Source organism: Homo sapiens, chromosome 10 (genome assembly GCF_000001405.40).
Source record: "Homo sapiens chromosome 10, GRCh38.p14 Primary Assembly".
NCBI lineage: Eukaryota > Metazoa > Chordata > Mammalia > Primates > Hominidae > Homo > Homo sapiens.
The window spans coordinates 50,633,272-50,652,147 of NC_000010.11; the positions used below are offsets into that span (position 1 = coordinate 50,633,272).

Here is an 18,876-nt window from a genome sequence, read left to right on the forward strand (position 1 = left end):
GTGTATCCATAAAACAGAAATGGATATGGTATGTCCCAGTTCTCCACAGTAGGCATTTATGTTATTCCCATCCCAATATTTAGCCCTGATCAGGGTTGTCAAACATTGCATGGGACATACTTATCCTAAAAAATTATTCATTATTTATCTGAAATTGAAATTTAACTGGATGTCCTATGTGTGTGCATGTGTATGTTTGTTTGTTTGTTTCTTTTTCTAAATCTGATTACCCTATCCTAACAGACTCAAGGTTTTTTCCCTGTTCCACAAACTTTATGACTTGACTTCATTAAAAATAATAAAGAGGAATAACTGCAAAGGCTTTAAAAATGCTGTTAGAATGAGTAGCACAACTGAATTTGAGGATACATTTTCTTTGAAGGATGTCTATTTTCCTACTGAAAATAGTGGCAAACTCCTTAGAACTCATTCAAAGCCTGATGGGATTCATTGCCTGATTTATTTAAAAACACTTCTGATGCTCACAGACTATTTATCATTTACACAGCAAATGATGTTCTTCTAGTATTCTTGTTGGGTGAGTTAGCATTGTGGAAGGACATAGAGGAGAATCAGACACAAACTTCTTATAACCTCATAAACAGGAAGAAAGGGAGCAGAAGCATAGACTGACTTTACTTTCACTCAGCTTACCTTCCTAGTTCTCCAGGTGTGGTCCTCAGAAGAGGAATATCATGTGACCTGGGAACTTGCTAGAAATGCACATCCTTGGGACCCACCCCGGACCTACTGAATCAGAAACTCTGAGAGTGGGTCCTAGCAACCAGTGTTTTCACAGGCCTTCCAGGTGATTCTTCCGCATGTTCGAGTTTGAGAACAACTGCTTTAGAGCCCTGGTTCTTGACCCTGGCTACAGGGTAAAACACCTGGGGAGTTTTTAAAATACTGATGCATGGGGTCCATTCCAAGGGAGTCTGATATAATTACTATGGGGTGCAGCCCAGGCGTAAACATTTTTTAAAAACTCCTCAACCAGAATAACGGCTCTACAGAAATTTTATCAAATGCCAAAGAAAGAGTTCCTTATTTTGCAACTATAGTGCTTTCTACTCTGGCCCTAATCAACTTTCATAAAGGCAGAATGGACAGACATTACGTGTTTTAATTTGAAGACTACCAAAAGGCCGGCCATTAAACTAGGTATATGGGCTCGTCCTCAAATCCCTAAATCTACTCCTTAGGACCTACTATAGCCAGTGTCATATAATAGAAAAGTCACTTATTGTCCACCAGACCCTGCCCTAATATTTGATAACCTCTTGGGGCCTCATTTTCTTGTGTCTACACTGGGGATGATATTAACTCTTCACAGGATTTGGGGAATTATAAAGAAAGACCATGTAGTAAAGGCAGGAAGATCAATAATCAATAATCACATCAGAACCTGAAGGGACTTCGTACCATTGAAGTGAGGCAGAGGAGAGAGAAATTTAGAAGGACAAATTCACAAATTTCAATGTGTTTCTATAATAACTACTTAAATTATTTTCTCTTTGAATTGCCTCACTGTTGTGTGTGTATGTCCCCACTCCCACCTGTCCCATTATTTTCCTGTTTTCACTTGTACCTTGGCAACCCATCTGTGGTTTTGGCCAAGCTGTTTTAATGGCATTGAACCTGGTAGTTTTTTTAAAAGAGTGTGGTAGTAGTTATATATGGCTCGATAACTCCTGGGGCTACAACAAGGTTAATGCGACAGTTTTTGTTGTTTAAAAAACATGCTTGTCTGACAAGTCAATCATTTTAAGCCCCTTGTTCACTTCAGGATGGTTGCTAAAGGCTTCTCTGTGAGCTAAAAGCTCTCGCTGTTAAGGGGCTGCCTGCCCTGACTGTATGCATTAAATGGAACAGTTCTCTACATGGTTTCTTACTACAGATGCCTTGGGATATATGGACACTGGCATTACCTGCTGCAACAGGTCCTCTCCCAGGGTACTGCTGAGACCTAAGGGCTTAAATGCTCACCAAACCAAGTGACCTTGGAGGGCTGGTCATGGTGGGCATCTGGGAGCTGGGAAAGAGCATTGGAGAACTTCATAGGGAAACCTAGTAGGCAAAAATGAAAGAACCCATAAGGGCCATTGGCATGAGCCATAGCTAAAGGCCACTGGGTTAGCTCTCAAAGAAAACTGCAAGATTGAAGCATAAATTCCTTCATCATGAACCAGAAGTCATGGAGTGGAGCCAGGGGCAAGAAAGAGAAAGATGAAGAGGTAGAACCACCAGGATAAAGGTGCCAAGAAAAACAGTGAGAGCAACACTCAGGGAACCAGAGACAGGAACACAGCTGGGAACTAGGAGGAGAAACCACCACAGCTGGAGCGCAAAGTGGCCAGGTCAGAAAAGCCTCATGGAATCCTGGTTAACTGAATGTTTCTATTGACTGAGGCCACTGCTTAAGCCCTGTATTCTTTTTTATTTCAATCCCCATGGTTAGAAAAATAGTCCTAAAATGGGTTCATACCCTTTCCTATCCTGCAAGATCTTAAACATCACTATCTTTTCCTGCAGTAGTTAAAAGCATGGGCTTTGGAATCAGAAACTGGGCACAAATCTGAGCCCTGCTACTTATTAACTGTGTAACATTGGTCAAATGAATAAACTTCCTGGAGCCTCAGTTTCCTTGCCTGTAAAATGTGAGTAACAATACCAACTTATTTTCAGGTTGTGAGCATTTCTCCATAATAATCCACATAAAACACTTACCAGAGCCCTTGGCATACTGTGTGAGCATGTAATAATGTTAGCTGTCATTCCAAGACAACATGTTGGAATAATCTACTTTTTCCATCACTATATATCTCATTTTCCTTCTTTTTCTTCTCCCTCAAACCTGTCCCCATTCCAACAGATGTTTTGGCCTGTGTTCCTAGCCTCCAGTGACAGCAGAAAGCCTGTTAGATTTCCTGCCTTTGTTTCCCAAAATTTGAGCCCCAAGAAACTGGGACAAGATATTTTCCTGAGACAAGATATCTCAGGAAGGGGAATGAGTGGAGCTTCTTTTCACCCCACACTAGAAAGCCATTCTGTTTAGAAAAAGGAGACGGAAGGGAAAGAAAAGGGTGCTATACCAGTTTTCCAGTATCACCGTCAGGGAGAAAGCAAGGCCGGAGAGTATCTGGGCAGATGTAACTATAAGCAGCCTAATAAAGGTTCCCAAGTCCAAACCATGAATCCAAACGGCAGAGCTGCCAGACATGAAAGGCCTTGCTGCCCTTCCACCCCACAATACTTCACCTCTGGAAGCCTTGACAATTCCAGGGAGTATTTGCAAAACCCTGCCCCCACCCAAAATTTTTAAAATACTGCATATGAGTGAGTAAAATGATGCCGAGATTTTTAAAAGGACAAGCTTACCATCAGATAGGTAGAATGAGTAGTAGTGGCAGCGGTGGTGGTAGTGATATAGAGATAAAAGAGTTAAGTGGAGTTACTGAAATGTGTAGTTATATTTCTCACACTCTGGTGTTTGTGGATTTGTGGGCTGAGATTCTTATCAAATTCCGGAACTTGCAATGTCTCAAGGTAATTGTTTAAAATATTAATTGTTTTACTCACACTGCAAATGTTGATATAGATGCTGGGGTGGAGGTGGGGCAATAGGCCAGAATAAGCCCAAGAATACCTTGGAATTTGCTGAATTTCTTTCTTTTTGCATAATCTTATTCACACATTAACATAATATGAACCACTCTGGCTCCATGAGCAGCACAGAAGAGACTTTCTGCAAATGTGATTATTAGGGCAAAAGTTAGGAGATTTTTTGCCCCCAGCTTTTCTCCTCTCCTAAAATCTTTTTTTTTTTTTCATTTCTTTGTCAGTGTCTTTAATTTTTTTAGCTGCATTTAAAAGGCTTTCTATTATTTCTGCATGAGTAAGAGCATGTGTCATGTCAGCCTCCTTGTCAGCTTCTGTTTCACTTTCATTAAATTTGTTGATTGAGTGTAAAGAAGGAGGCACTGTCATCATTTCCAGATTTCATAGCTGTAGGTTAGATCTCTCTCGGAGCAATGCCATGATTACTGCTGCAATTTTGTAATGGAGCCCTGGAGAGACAGGGATGAAACCAGGGAAGGCTCCTTATCCCTTTCGTGGGTCCAGGGAGGCAGAAAGAGAGGGGAGGAGGATGTTTCTGTTTCACCTCTATTCATTCATTCATTCATTTGCTTCACAAATATTGAGCACCTCCTGAGTGACAGACACTGATTTGGGTGCTGGAAAGCATAAGCAGCCCTGGTGCCTGTCCTCACAGAGCCTATGGTCTGCTGGTGAGACGGACTTAATCAGATAAACACACTAATGAATGTATAGTTGCACCAACAGATCCTCATTTAATTGAGCTGGACTAGGACCTAGGCATCAGTATTTTTTTTATAAGCTTCATAGGTAACTCTGCCAGGCCTGGGAATCACTGGGCTAGACCATGCAAGTTCTAATCATATAGGCTCTACTCAAGCATTAAGCATTTTGATTTTATCTTTCAAGCTGTGGTGAAAACGTTACTGAAGAGAGGTGATATAGTAAGATGCTCACGGTTTTTAAAATTAAGCTTTTTTATTTTGAAATAATTATAGACTCATATGCAGTTGTAAGAAATAATACAGGGGAATCCCATATATCCTTTATCCAGTTTCCCCAATGGTAACATCTTGCAAAACTATGGTACAATATCACAACCAGGATATTGACCTTGGTGCAGTCAAGATAAAGCATTTTCAACACCACATGAATCCCTCCTGTTGTCCTTGGATAGCCCTCCCCACTTTACTCCTGGTGACCACTAATATGTTCTCCATTTCTATAATCTTGTCTTTTCAACAGTTATATAAGTGGAATCATATAGTATAGAACCTCATGGGATTGGCTGTTTTCTCTCAGCATCATTTTCTGGACATTCATTCAGGTTGTTTCACGTGTCAATAGTTTGTTCCTTTTTAGAGGGCTGACTAGCGGTGTTCCATGTATAGGGGTGCCATAGTTTGTTTAACCATTCACATGTTGAAGGACATCTGGGTCTGCTCCAATGTTCAGAGATTTTAAATAGAGCTGCTATACACATTTGTGTATAGGTTTTTGTGTGAACATGAAGTCTTTGTTTCTCTGGGATACATGCCCAAGTGTGCAATTGCTGAGTTATATGATAGTTGCATGTAGAAACTATCATGCATAAAGAAACTGTCAAACTATTTCCAGAGTATCTGCACCATTTTACATTCTCAACAGTAATGTACCAGTGATCCAGTTTCTCCTCATTCTCATCAGAATTTAATGTTGCCACTGTTTTTTATTTCAGCCATTCTGATAGGTATGTGGTAATTGCTTGTTGTGGTTTGCTTTGAGTTTCTCTAATGGCCAACGATGCTGAACATCTTTTCATGTGCTTAGTTGCCATCTGTATATTACCTTTGGTGAAGTGTCTCTTCATGTCTTTGGCCTATTTTCTAATTGGATTATTAGCCTTAATGTTGAGTTTTGAGAGTTTACTTTTATATTCCAAATACTAGTCCCTTTTGTCAAATATGGGGTTTGCAATTTTTTTCCCACTCTCCAATTTGTTTTTTATCCTGTTTACAGGGTCTTTCACAGAGCAAAGTTTTTTAATTGTGATGCAGTCTAATTTATCAGCTTTTCCTTTTATGGACCATATTTTTGGTGTCGAGTCTAAGTCGTCTTTGCTGAGTCCTACATCATGAAGATTTTTTCTTACTAAAATTTGATAGTTTTAAATGTTCTCTATTTAAGTCCGTGAGTTATTTTGAGTTAATTTTTGCATAAGGTATAAATCTTAGGTTGAGGCTCACTTTTTAATCTTAAGGATTGCTCAGCATCATTTATTGAAAAGGCTATCTTCCCTCCATTGAATTTCTTTTGTACCTGTGTCAAAACATCAGTTGCATATATTTGTGTGTATCAATTTCTGGGTCTTCTGTTCTGTTCAGTGGATCTATGTGTCTATTTCTCTGCCAATACCATATAGTTTTGACTATAGTAGCTGTATAATAAGTCTTGAAACCCTTGAAACCAGGTAAGACTGGTCCCTTTCATATTAGCCTTCCTTTTCAAAATTGTTTTAGCTATTCTAGTTCCTTTGCTTTTCTGTATACATTGTAGAATAGTGTTGTCTATATCTATTTTTAAAACTTGCTGGAATTTTTTTTTAAGAGACAGAGTCTTGCACTGTTGGCCAGGTTGGAGTACAGGGGTATGATCATAGCTCACTACAGCACCAAACTCCTGGGCTCTAGCAATCTTCCTGCCTCAGTCTCCCAAGTAGGTAGAACTACATGCAACTGCCACTACAATCGTATTTAAAAGTAAAGTTAAAAAAATTTTTTTTGAGAGAAGATCTCACTCTGTTGACTAGTCTGGTCTTGAACACCTAGCCTCCAGCAATCCTCTTGCCTCCCAAAGCACTGGAATTGCAAGAGTGAGCTACCAGGCCCAACCAGTATGTTATGTGTGCAGTTTTTTGTAGATATTATTTATTATGTTGAGGAAACTCCCCTCTATTGCCATTTTTCTGATAGTTTTTAAGATCATTCATGGGTGTTGAAGTTTGTCAGAGTCTTTCTGTATCCATTGATTGTTATGATCAAGAATTTTTTCTTTAGCCTGTTAATACGATGTATTAAATAGCTTCATTTTCAACTACTGAGCCAGCCTGAAATAAACCTCGCTTGGTCATGATATATTATTACATATGCTGCTGAATTCTATTTTCTCTTTTACTGGTCTTTTGGCTGGAGAGAGTAGGCTTTTGTTGGGGCTTTACTTGTACGTGCACATTGTTATTTCTGGGTTGTCAGCCTCCTTCTCTCCAAGTCTGGGATATATGGGACAAAAACATAATCCAGGGAGCCCACCACCTTGTTAGACTTTGAGTCCCTAGATCCCTAGGTGGTCTGGCTTCTTTTTTTCACCTTTGAAAATCTTATGTTTGTTTTATACATAATGTTGAGAGTTTTTCGTTGTTCTTAGTGGCAGAAGTATAGAAAGATACTCCATCTTCTCAAAAATAGAAGTTCAGATTATGTTTTGAAAGGCACTGTAGGCAGGCCAGGGAAGGCTTGTAAAAGGCTACTGCACTGGTCCAGGTGAGGGGAGTTAGTCTGGTAGAAGGCTGTTTCTTCCACCATTCTCCCCTCACATTCCACTGCCCCATTTGCATGGAGCTGGGGTTCTACTACCCCAGTAGGGCAGCAAGAGAGAAGGAGCAGGCAATATCTTGGAGCATTACACCATGATAAAGGGACACCAATACCCTCCAGATGCTAGCTGTTTCTTTCTAGAGCTTTTAAACATTCTCCTTCAGCAGAAGAAATAAGTCACTCCTGAAAGCATCCTAACAATGTGCATTTCTCCAAAGTTTCCTTAACACTTCACATTTAACATGACTCCAGGTATAAGCAACATTAAACAAGTCATATCTTATGTTACAACTTGAGTGAAACTTTAATGATGCTGAATTTGCTAATTTGCTCTGGTATAATGTATTTCCTGTTTATAATCCCTTTTGGCTAATAGCACTAATCAACAGAAAACACTGACAGACTGCACAATGGCAACAGTAATTCTGGACAGAGATAGTTTTATTATCTACAGATGAATCCATGTTTCTAAAACATTATTTACTATAATGTAAAATATGGGTTGGGCGTGGTGGCTCACACCTGTAATCTCAGCACTTTGGGAGGCTGAGGCGGGCAGATCACCTGAGGTCAGCAGTTCAAGCCTAGCCTGGCCAACATGGTGAAACCCCATCTCTACTAAAAATACAAAAATTAGCCAAGTGCAGTGGTGCATGCTTGTAATCCCAGCTACTTGGGGGGCTGAGGTAGGAGGATTGATTGAACCTGGGAGGCAGAGGTTGCAGTGAGCCGAGATCATACCACTGCACTCCAACCTGGGCAACAGAAGGAGACTCTATCTCAAAAAATAAAAATAAAAATAAAAATAAAATGTAGTAGATAAAGGTCATAATTTCTATGCACCAAAGCTTTTATAGGAGGCCTGTATTTTAGCAATCAACCTGTCCTTATTCTGTTCAAATTCAAGGGCACTTGAATCACTTTAGATGGTGTCACCTACATTGGGAAGCAATCACAGTATAGATATTTTTTCTTATTATGTTTGCAAAATAAACTTCACAAAATTGTCTAGCAACCTTGTGACCACTTGTTTTCTTTTATTGAACATAATAATCCTTTTAACACTTTAAGACTGCCATTTTCAAGAAAATAGCTATAAATTACATAATTGAATTTTATTTTTCTAAAAAATTGTACCACACTTTAGGATGAACAGTTGACCAAAGAAGGGCCTCTTTGCCATGTCTCTGAAAACATCTTGTATGAATACAGCCATTCCTAATGCTCCAGTATCAATGTCTCTATAATACATTAGTGTAAAGGTACCTCTTGGCACCAGCATAAGAGGAGATTGGAAGCCCTTTCTGAGCCCTGACATCATCCAACTTGGAGATGGGCATTTTTTACCCATGCATCTCCTTGCTTTGCCATTTGGCATCCAGTCATTCAAAAACATCCGGTGACCATCTACTCTTGGCATAATTCCAGATGTGATCCTTGTAGTCACGTTAGACCTTTTATTCACTTTTATCCCTCAACCTCTAGATCTGTTACACATTGTAGCAAACTCTTGTAAAATATCTAATGAAAGAAAGAAAAAAATTAAAGAATATTGAATAGCCAGGTAATATAATATAGAATCATGTATGTAGAAGTTTTATGATGTTAGGAAAAATTATTGGCCTTAAAAATTCGCCATTCATTTTTCAAACAGTACATAGTGTGCACAAGGTTCTTTGTCCTCAAACTTTTGGCAATACCAAAAGAGGCCTTTAATCTTAACAATAAGTGAGACTTGGTAGAAATCCCTTCGAGCAATCAGTGCTTGTCAAAGTTTTGTTCAACAATCATCTGTATGAGAAGCATCTAGGAAATTATTTAGCAATGAGGCTATTTGGGCTGAAATCCTTAAATAAAGAAATAATTGTTTTAACCAGGGGCAAGTTATGAATAAAGTTGAGCCATAAATCAAAAGGATGTTAACTGAAAAAGAAGTCTCAAAGCAGATGGTGAGAAAGTGAAGACAGAGAGCCTCTGCCCCAGTTCAGGAGGAATATTCCGGACCAAACACACAAAGGAAGCAGGTAAAGAGTGACTTCACCCGAGAGAAAATACAAACCTTTTCATTAGGGGAGACACCAAGCAAGAATGCCACAGTGTTAACAAGGGGTGGATGTTAACAGGTAAAATAACACTTTCCCCCAGATGAGCAGCCTGAGTTGATCTGCAGTTACAAAATTGCAGCCAGGTGTGGTTGCTCACGCCTGTAATCCCTGCACTTGGGAGGTCAAGGCAGGAGGATTGCTTGTGCCCAGGAATTTGAGGCCAGTCTGGGCAACATGGCAGAAACCCATCTCTACAAAAAGTACAAAAATTAGCCAGGTGTGGCATTTGCGCCTGTAGTCCCAGCTACTTGGGAGGCTGAGGTGGGAGGATTAATTGAGCCCGGGAGGTCAAGGCTGCAGTGAGCCATGATCGTGTCACTGTACTCCAGCCTGAGTGACAGAGCAAGACCCTGTCTCCAACAAACAAACAAAATAGACATCCAGCCAGGCACAGTGGCTCACACCTGTAATCCCAGCACTTTGGGCTGCCAAGTAGAGAGAATTGCGTCGTAGAGGGGAGGAATTGCTTGAGGCCAGGAGTTCGAGAACAGCCTGGGCAACATATGAAGGCCCCCGTCTCTACAAAAAATAAAAATAGCCAGACATGGTGGCATGCACCTGTCATCCTAGCTACTCAGGAAGTGGAGGTGGGAGGATCTCTTGAGCCCAGAAGTTGAAGGTTACAGTGAGCTATGATCACACCACTGCACTCCAGTGTGGGCTACAGAGTAAGACCCTGCCTCTAAAAAAAAATAAATAAAATAAAATAAAATGTAAATTAAAAGGAAAAAAGAGTAGACACCCTAAGCCCATGGGAAAAAATCTGGTATTGGAAACTGAGTGACAGACTCCTCACATTTAGGTAGAAAAATTGTTGAACTAAAATGTACAGCAGGTCCTTGAATAATGTCATCGTTCAATGTCATTTCATTATAAGGTTGATAAGAAAAATATCCATTTTCAGCAAGCGCCACTGTCTGAGTGGAGTTTGCACATTCTCCCCATGTCTATATCAGTTTCTTCCAGGTACTCCTGTTTCCTCCCATATCCCAAAGATGTGCCCATTAGGTTCATTGTTGTTTCCAAATGGTCCCAGTGTGAGTGTGGTTTTGTGTGAGCGCACCCTGTGATGGGCTGGTGTCCTGTCCAGGGATAGTTCCTCCTGCCTTGCACCCTGAGTGAGTTCTGGCCACCTGAGACCCTGAACTAGAATAATGGGGTAAATAATCATCTTAGTTGTTTTTATTTATCTTTCTTAAATATATGTATAGCTCACATTTATTTCAATGTTTAATATTAGAAGTGTTTTGGGGCTTAGGAACTTAACATTAGTTTATATCAATTAGCCTATGGTCAGATTGGTTTTGTTGTACATCATTTCACTTAAAGTTGCAGTTCCCAAGAACCTATTGAGGATGTTAAGTGAGGACTTGCTGTATTCATAATGCCAATTTTCTTTCACTTAGGTACAATTTGGTCAGGTATTAGGATTTGCCTCCCAGGCACTGTAAGTTAGATGAAGAAGGCTATTCTAACTGGAACATATATCTGTTACATAAGTGATATAAACAAAAATTGAATCGTTATTAAGCAAAATTCCATTTTTAAATAAAATGCTCTAATGATTAATCACGTTTATTTTCTTCAGTTATCTACATTGAAAGAGCATCACATTGGCTAGGTCTAAATAACTGTAAAGCAGCAGTTTGCAACCCTGGCTATATATTAGAGCCATGAGGGAAATATAAAAAGTACTCATGCCAGCTTAAGAAACTCTCATTTCATCAACAAAGGAAGGTCCAGGTTTGGGTATTTATTTTCTAGAGGGATATCACCATTCACTGGCTAAGTGAAACAGAATTGTTAGGTTTAAGAGGAAATTATCAGCAGCTGTGAGGTTGCCACTAAACTTAGAAACCTGTAAACCTTTAAAGTTCACAACCTTGGCTTCTTCTTTCAATCAATTGGGAGCTTGTAAAAATCCCAACATCCAGGCTGCACCTTAAACCAATTAAAACCTTTGGAGGAGGAATTTAGGCATTAGTCTTAAAATCTTTGTAGCTGAAATTGAGAAACACAGCTAATGGGTGGCTTTACTTTTAGAGATGTCCTACAAGAATTAGAAGAGCAGATGTTCAGATCTTTGGTTCTCATGAACACTGATCAACCAAAAGATTTCTTTAAATTTTTTGCTGAGCCTCATTGATTCAGTTCTGTTAGCTGCCATTCTTCAGCTAAAGTTTGTGAAAAGATCCTGGTTACTTAAGGGTACAGGTCATTTCAATAACTATAATTTGAGATAGTAACTATCTCTGGAGTCTCTGCTGCAAATTCATCAAGATTTGGTTGTGGCTAAGTTGTGAAGCACCATCATCTCAGCATTGACCCAAATTAGACCTTGGTAGGGAATTTTAAGACTATAATTTACTGCATCCTTGTGCAATTAAAGGATAGCACTCTCTATCTTATGAAATAGGCTGTAATGAATGGAAAGAGGTCTTATTTTAAACATATTGCTATATATATGACCTAATTAAATTTGCAAACAATTCGTTATTTTAAGGAACAACTAGCTATGTATAGCATTAAATCTATTATAGAGTCTCCATTTTTTAAAAGAAATATTTCTTTGTAAATAAGTGAAATTTTCTAATAGTACCAAGCAATTTGCCACAGGCATTGTTCTGAGTTGCTTTTGTTCTTTTCAAAGCAGTCAATACATTAAAAACCCTGAAAATCATTTTAAACCCAATTTATTCAAATTCACTAGCAGGCCATAAATACAGCTTTTTCTGTGAACAATAATGAAAACAAAAGAGCACCCCATTAAGTGAAGCTATCCAATGAAAACTTGGATTTCAAACTCAGAGAAAGGAAAACAGGGATAGAAATGCACTCCACTTTAATGTTTACCTTTAACATGGATGAGGAAACTGGGAAGTAAATCTAGATGACTCTGTGGCTTCCACATCCTGTGGGAGCCAACCCAGGTGCTTTAAGTCTCTCTTTCAACCTGCTGTCCTTTCAGGAGCTGGTATCCTCCCCTCTCAAATCTTACCTTTAAAGATAAATTGATTAAGTACTGTTTATTTGTTCCTTAATAGGAAGTTCATTTTTTTGAATGAAACTCCTTCCAAGGATTTACATGTTAAGACTTATCTTTACTATTCTTATAATAATTGTTGTTGTTGTTTAAAAGGAGCTGTGATATCCTGAAGGAAGTGAAGTAACTTTGTATCAGTGGATTTTTCTGGACAACTGTACTCCCAGAGTTGTCCAGAAAAAAAATATACACTTTATATACACTTATATCTTAAAGAGAAATAAAAAACTATTCTTAAAATGGCTTGAAAATACCAGTTGAGGGAAAAATGAATTTAGAGTATTTTTTAAAGGCCTAAATAAAAAGAGACTGCCCAGACTACCTGCTGGAATGAACGACTCAGAAATAAAAGATCTGGGGGCTTTTAGAGGCAGCAACTATTACGAATTCACAAGGGTAGTGAGAAATCTGTGGAGATGGTGGGACACAAATTAGACATTGATGGGATGGAAATTTTTCATTGTTAATTTTTCATTAACAATTCAAACTATCTGCATATTTGGTTTCACACAAACTGAAATTCTAGATGATTGACTTATTACACCTATGACAAATCGGATTTTAGGTTTTTGTTGTTTTTGCTTTAAGAAGATGCAGTCTTGGAAAAAATGGAGAAAATAGTTCCTCAGAGACAGAGACTTATTGAAGTCAGGAGATAGGAAGTTAATTTTGAGTAGTTTCAATCCATTTAGACAAGACAATCTACAATGGTTTGAATATTTGTCCCATCCAAAACTCATGTTGAAATTGAACCAACAATATGGCAGTATTGAGAAAGGGGCCTTTAAGAGGTGATGGGTTGTGAGGGGTCTACCATTAATGGATTAATGGCTTAATGGGTTTATGGACTATGGATGATCATGGAAGTGGGACTCGTGGCCTTATAAGAAGAGGAAGAGAGACCCAAGCTAGCACACTCAGCCCCCTTGCCATGTAATGCCCTTTGCCAAAGGGGGACTCTGCACAGAGTCCTCACCAGCAAGAAGGCCCTCACCAGTTGGTGTCCCTCAATCTTGGACTTCTCAGCCTCCGTAACTATAAGAAATAAATTCTTTTTCTTTATAAATTGCCCATTCTCAGCTATTCTGTTATAAGCTACAGAAAATGAACTAAAACACTATCCTTTTAACCTGAGCTTTAATAAATGTTAACTCTTGCTGCCCTTTTCCTAACTTTGTACATGAATAACTTCTTTGTAATACCCCATAGCTTCTCTCCAGACTTGGCTTCTTCCAAGACTGCTGACCCCAGGATTTAAAAGCCTATCTTCATCTGTAATCCCCACATTCTGGGAGGCCAAGGCAGTCCAATCACCTGAGGTCAGGGGTTCAAGACCAGCCTGGCCAACATGGTGAAACCCTGTCTCTTCTAAAAATACAAAAAGTTAGCCAGGCATCGTGGTGCATGCTTGTAATCTCAGCTACTTGGGAGGCTGAGGCACGAGAATCACTTGACCCTGGGAGGTGGAGGTTGCAGTGAGCTGAGATCACGCCACTGCATTTTCCAACCTAGGTGACAGAGTGAGACTCCGCCTCAAAAAAAAAAAAAAAAAAAAAAAAAGAGAAAAAAAAATAAAAGCCTATCTTATTCTCTTCTCCTTTCAGCATGGTCATTGCCTCTAATTCAGAGCCTCCTTTTTTACTCTTTGCAGTCTGGCAGCTGCCACTACCAACCTGATAACATTGCTCCCTGGAGGAGACGTTGAGGACCATTTCCCCAGAAATGTGAGCTAAAACCAAACTGCTAAAAGACATTTTTTGCTGGGTGTTGTGGCTCATTTCTGTAATCCCAGCACTTTGGGAAGCTGAGGCAGATGGATTGCTTGAGCCCAGGAGTTTGAAACCAGCCTGGGCAACATAGTAAGACCCTGTCTCTACTAAAAATAAAAATAATAAAAAAGGACATTAGCTGGGTGTGGTAGTGTGCCCCTGGAGTCCCAGCTATTTGGGAGGCTGAGGTAGGAGGATTGTTTGGGCTTGGAGGGTGAGGCTGCAGTAAGCTATGATTGCACCACTGCACTCCAGCCTGGGCAGCAGAGTGAGACCCCATATCAAAAAATAAATAAATAAAAATAAAAGACATTTTTAAGATATGTAATGAAGGGAGATGGTTGGGGAGGAGAGGAAGACAAAAGATACAACTCCGGGGGATGGTGGAGGTTTACCAAGAGGAGAAACCAGCAAGACACACAGTGGGAACAACCATGAGGGAAGAGGTGACTGAGGGACTGTATTGTTACTGCAGCCTCGGAAGCAGCAAACATAAAAAAGTTACCCTTTCTGCCCCACCCAAGCTCAGAGCCTCCTCACTGATTTTCCTACTCCCAGGCCCTCCCAGTGCCACTGTGGTTCACACTGAGCACTGGTCCTGGGGTCCTAGCAGTCATCATTTTACACAATTTGATCCTGTTCAGCTCTTCTGGTTTTGTCTCTCTTTCTTTCCTTCTTCTGAAAGTCTAGCTGGAGAAAATAACTCTCCATACCCCGGAACACACACCGCGTTTTCCCATCTTTAGCTCTCTGCTCACTAATGACTTCCCCTCTAATGTCCATCCCCATCATATCATCTCCACCCACCCAAGTCCTACCCATAAAAGGAGAAAAAAAAAAAGAAAAAAAGAAGCAGAGTCTCATTCCATCTCCCAGGCCAGAGTACAATGGTGCAATCACAGCTCACTGTGGCCTTGACATCCTGGGCTCAAGCTATCCTCCTACCTCAGCCTCCTGAGTAGACGGGACCACAGGCAGGCACCATGCCTGGCTAAATTTTTTTTTTCTTTTTAGACAGAGTTTCACTCTGTTGCCCAGGCTGGAATGCAGTGGCTTGATCTTGGCTCACTGCAACCTCTGCTTCACAAGTTCAAGTGATTCTTGTGCCTCAGCTTCCTGGGTAGCTAGGACTACAGGTGTGCTCCACCATGCGTGGCTAATTTTTTTGTATTTTTACTAGAGATGGGGTTTCCCCCATGTTGGCCAGGCTGGTCTTGAACTCCTGACCTCAAGTGATCCACCCACCTTTGCCTCCCAAAGTGCTGGGATTACAGGCGTGAGCTACTACACCCAGCCCAATTTTTTAAAATATTTTTTTGTAGAGACAGGGTTGTTATGTTGCCCAGGCTGGTCTTAAACTCCTGGGCTCAAGCAATCCTCCCACTTCTGCCTCCGAAAGTGGTGGGATTGCTGGTGTGTGCCACCGTGCCCAGCCCCAGCTCAACTCCGTAATGGGTAAATGAATAACCAAATGATGGCTCCAGTACAATCTTGATCACAGTCACACGGCCTCAATTCTCAGTATGATCTGAAATCTGCCCATAGTGCTGCACTTTGAACAGATCAGCAGCACAGATTTTTCACTGATACCCACAGAAATTACCATAGTTTAGATTATCAGATGTCTAAAGGAACATACGTCCTCATAGTTCCCACACCCAAACACATTTTTTTGCACATACAGCAGTTATCAAAAAGTGCCCCAGACTTTTCTCCTGAGCTACAAATATACAATGCCCTGCCTGCCCTCCTATCCTTAGCTCTATATTTTCAGTTCTTTCTCTCTCATTTATTGATTTTAACACCTTTCTTGCTCTGGTTTATGTGATATTATCTTGTAGGGAATTAAGTAGATGCTTCCAATTAGATTCATTACAAGTTCCCTTAAGAAGCGATTAGGAAGGTAAGAGTCCCAAGCGGCTGGTTCCCTCAGTAATACCAGCAGCATTTTTAGGGTGCATGCCAATATCAGACCAGGTTTTAAGTGCCACATTACTCCTTTATCACCAAGGGATCCTTGGAAGCTTGCAAAACTGAGTGCAGCTGAGCATAAAGTAGTGTTTTATTGAATGCCTTATGTGGCAATTACAAAGAAAACAGAAATATGAATCCCTCATCAAAAGGCAGTTTAGGAGGGGTAGTCAATCAGTGCATGGACCCTGTAGTCTAATGGTACTGGCTTTAAATTCCAGTGCCAGCTATAGGATTTTGGAAAATTACTTAACTTCTCTGAGCCTGTTTTCTCATCTGCTAAATGGGGGTAATGGTATAGTAATAGCGCTTTGGGGAGAATTAAATTAATTAAATTAAATTAAATTAATTCAGCACAATACTTGGTACATAGAGTTCAAATAAATGGCAGCTATTATCATTACCATGAAAATTAAAATTCCAGTGAATCACATGACCTGCCTTCCATTTCCAAAACTACGACCTTTTAGTTGCTAAGTTATTTGTGAAGTCTATGGGCTTTAAGAAAGATGGCAAGAAGGGAAAGAGGGAAAAGGGAAGAAGTTTTCCTATTTTCCATGGGTCAGGTTTTCATTGCTACTGAACTCTTTATACAAGCATAATAGAGATAATATTTTGAAAATATTAATAGTTTTCTTTCCCTTTAGAAAACTGCAAACTCCACCTCCTGGGTTCAAGCAATTCTTCTGCCTCCAGAGTAGCTGGGATTGCGGCATGCACCACCACGCCCAGCTAATTTTTGTATTTTTAGTAGAGACAGGATTTTGCCATATTGGCCAGGCTGGTCTCAAACTCCTGGCCTCAAGTGATCTGCCCGCTTCGGCCTCCGTAAGTGCCGGGATTACAGTTGTGAGCCATCATGCCCAGCCATTCTATCCCCTTCTTTATATCTGGTTCTACTATTCAACTAATATAGCCTAAATACCTCCTTATTGGGGATAGAGGAAAACCTGATATAGAAGCAGTTCTTCCTGTTGGCCTGGTGGATTGTGGGAAAAATAACAGAAGGCAAATTGTAGCAAAAGCAAGTGGGCAGACACTTGTGTCCTGGCTTGCCTCCTCCGGGCCACAGTCTGGAAGAGGAAAGAAGAGGATATGGTACATAAACTGGGGGAGAGCCAGATGCAAAAGCAGAGGGGGCTTGTGCCCCAGTCCTAGCTCAGAACTCTGAGAAGAGACTGTGGTGTAGAATGGCTTACACCAACCTGGTGCTACCACAGAACAAGGAAGGCGGCAGAGAGGCATGGTTCCACAGAAAGAGGGCCTGTGTTCCCACTCCTAAACTTGCCTTTCCTCTTAAAAGGCATAGAAGGGCTCCAGAAGTTCCCAGACTCCCCCTGTAGAACCAGACAAGGTAGGTAACAGAATTGGCAGCTTCAGGACCTGCTATAATGGAGCCTCTGTAGTTAGGGGTGAGATAACACTAACGTCAAGGCCAGGGGCTAGAGAGAGGACCTGGCTGAACTCGGTGGCATCTGCAGTCCTGGCAAATGTAAGGTAGGGTGGGTCTAACTGAGCCTAGGAACAACACTGCACTTGGGGAAGACCACTGTAAGGCTGTGGGAACCTGACTGGATCAGCCACTTCAGAGCAGAGGCAGGAGATAGGATAGGCCCTGCACTCATATCAAGGCTCATCTCCCCCTACAGTGGGATCCACATGCCCAAACACCATCTGGTAGAGAAGTAGGGAATGAACAAAGGGGATATTGGAAAGATAGCTAATCTACCCTGTGTGGAAAAGAATGAACTTTGCACAAAGAGAAGTTAGGCCTTTGCTTCTGAGAGTATTTTAAGCCTTTGTAATGTCCTGCCTGATAAGATGGGGTTACCTGGCAGCCTAAGACCATGCCAGATAGTCTATGCTAATAATGTGATTATGGTGGGGCTTTAGGCCTTGCAATATCAACCCAACCTCTGGAAGGCTGGAAGCTAAGGTGGTCAATGGGTGGTCAACCATATCTACTGGTAGTCAACCATATCTATGTAACCAAGCCCCAGTTAAAAACTCTGGACACCAAGGCCCAAGTGAGTTTCCCTGGCTGGCAATACTCTGTGCGTATTGCCCAACATCATTGCTGGGAGGAATTAGCACTGTCTAGAGTTCCACTGTGATAGGACAACTAGAAGCTTGCACTTGCAACTCTCCTGGACCCTGCCCCATCATGCCTCTTCCCTTTGCTGATTTTCATTTCTTACTTTTCACTGTAATAAACCATAACTGCGAGTATAACAGTTTTCAGTGAGTTCTATCAATTATTGAACCTGAGGGTTGTCCTGGGGGACTCCTGATTTCCACAAACCCCAAAGAGACTGGGCCAACTGGAGTGAGTAAAGAAAGATTGCATCCATTAGAGCAAATCAAGAAGCCTCATTGTCTTATAGAATTTCAGTGGTGCTTTGTAAATATGTGACCCTACTACTCAAGCAAGTAAAGACTTCTTACCACTCCAAATAAGGCATGGATGAAGGAATCACAGCTAGCTAGTCTTTTTTTTTTTCAAACTAAAGAAGGGGACATGTGTACTGCCTTCAAACATTACAAAGCTATCGTATAAGAAAGGAACTAGAATTAGTGTTTGTCTAGCTGAAGGGTTATATAAAGCCCGGCTGGTGGAAGTTATAGAGGGCCAGGTTTCAGTTTAAGCACAAACTTAGTGACAACCAGAGGCCTCTAAAAAACACAAGCAGCTAACTCAAAGATAGCTGAGTTCCTCATCACCAGAGATCTTAGAGGCCAATGACCCCTTGTACTGAGATTGTGTATAGAATGAAAGTTGACTCAAACATCCTTTAAGTTACATTCCAAGCTGAAAGCCT

At 40.7% G+C, this 18,876-nt stretch overlaps 5 annotated features.

Moving 5' to 3' along the window:
* Nucleotides 3,854-3,903: an enhancer, noted in NCBI's record as "active region_3367". NCBI's record gives its function as "activates an Ori minimal core promoter by ATAC-STARR-seq in GM12878 lymphoblastoid cells {active_cell/tissue: GM12878}" and the evidence as "EXISTENCE:reporter gene assay evidence [ECO:0000049][PMID:35858748]".
* Nucleotides 3,954-4,003: an enhancer, noted in NCBI's record as "active region_3368". NCBI's record gives its function as "activates an Ori minimal core promoter by ATAC-STARR-seq in GM12878 lymphoblastoid cells {active_cell/tissue: GM12878}" and the evidence as "EXISTENCE:reporter gene assay evidence [ECO:0000049][PMID:35858748]".
* Nucleotides 15,177-15,336: an enhancer, noted in NCBI's record as "active region_3369". NCBI's record gives its function as "activates an Ori minimal core promoter by ATAC-STARR-seq in GM12878 lymphoblastoid cells {active_cell/tissue: GM12878}" and the evidence as "EXISTENCE:reporter gene assay evidence [ECO:0000049][PMID:35858748]".
* Nucleotides 15,357-15,506: an enhancer, noted in NCBI's record as "active region_3370". NCBI's record gives its function as "activates an Ori minimal core promoter by ATAC-STARR-seq in GM12878 lymphoblastoid cells {active_cell/tissue: GM12878}" and the evidence as "EXISTENCE:reporter gene assay evidence [ECO:0000049][PMID:35858748]".
* Nucleotides 15,717-15,776: an enhancer, noted in NCBI's record as "active region_3371". NCBI's record gives its function as "activates an Ori minimal core promoter by ATAC-STARR-seq in GM12878 lymphoblastoid cells {active_cell/tissue: GM12878}" and the evidence as "EXISTENCE:reporter gene assay evidence [ECO:0000049][PMID:35858748]".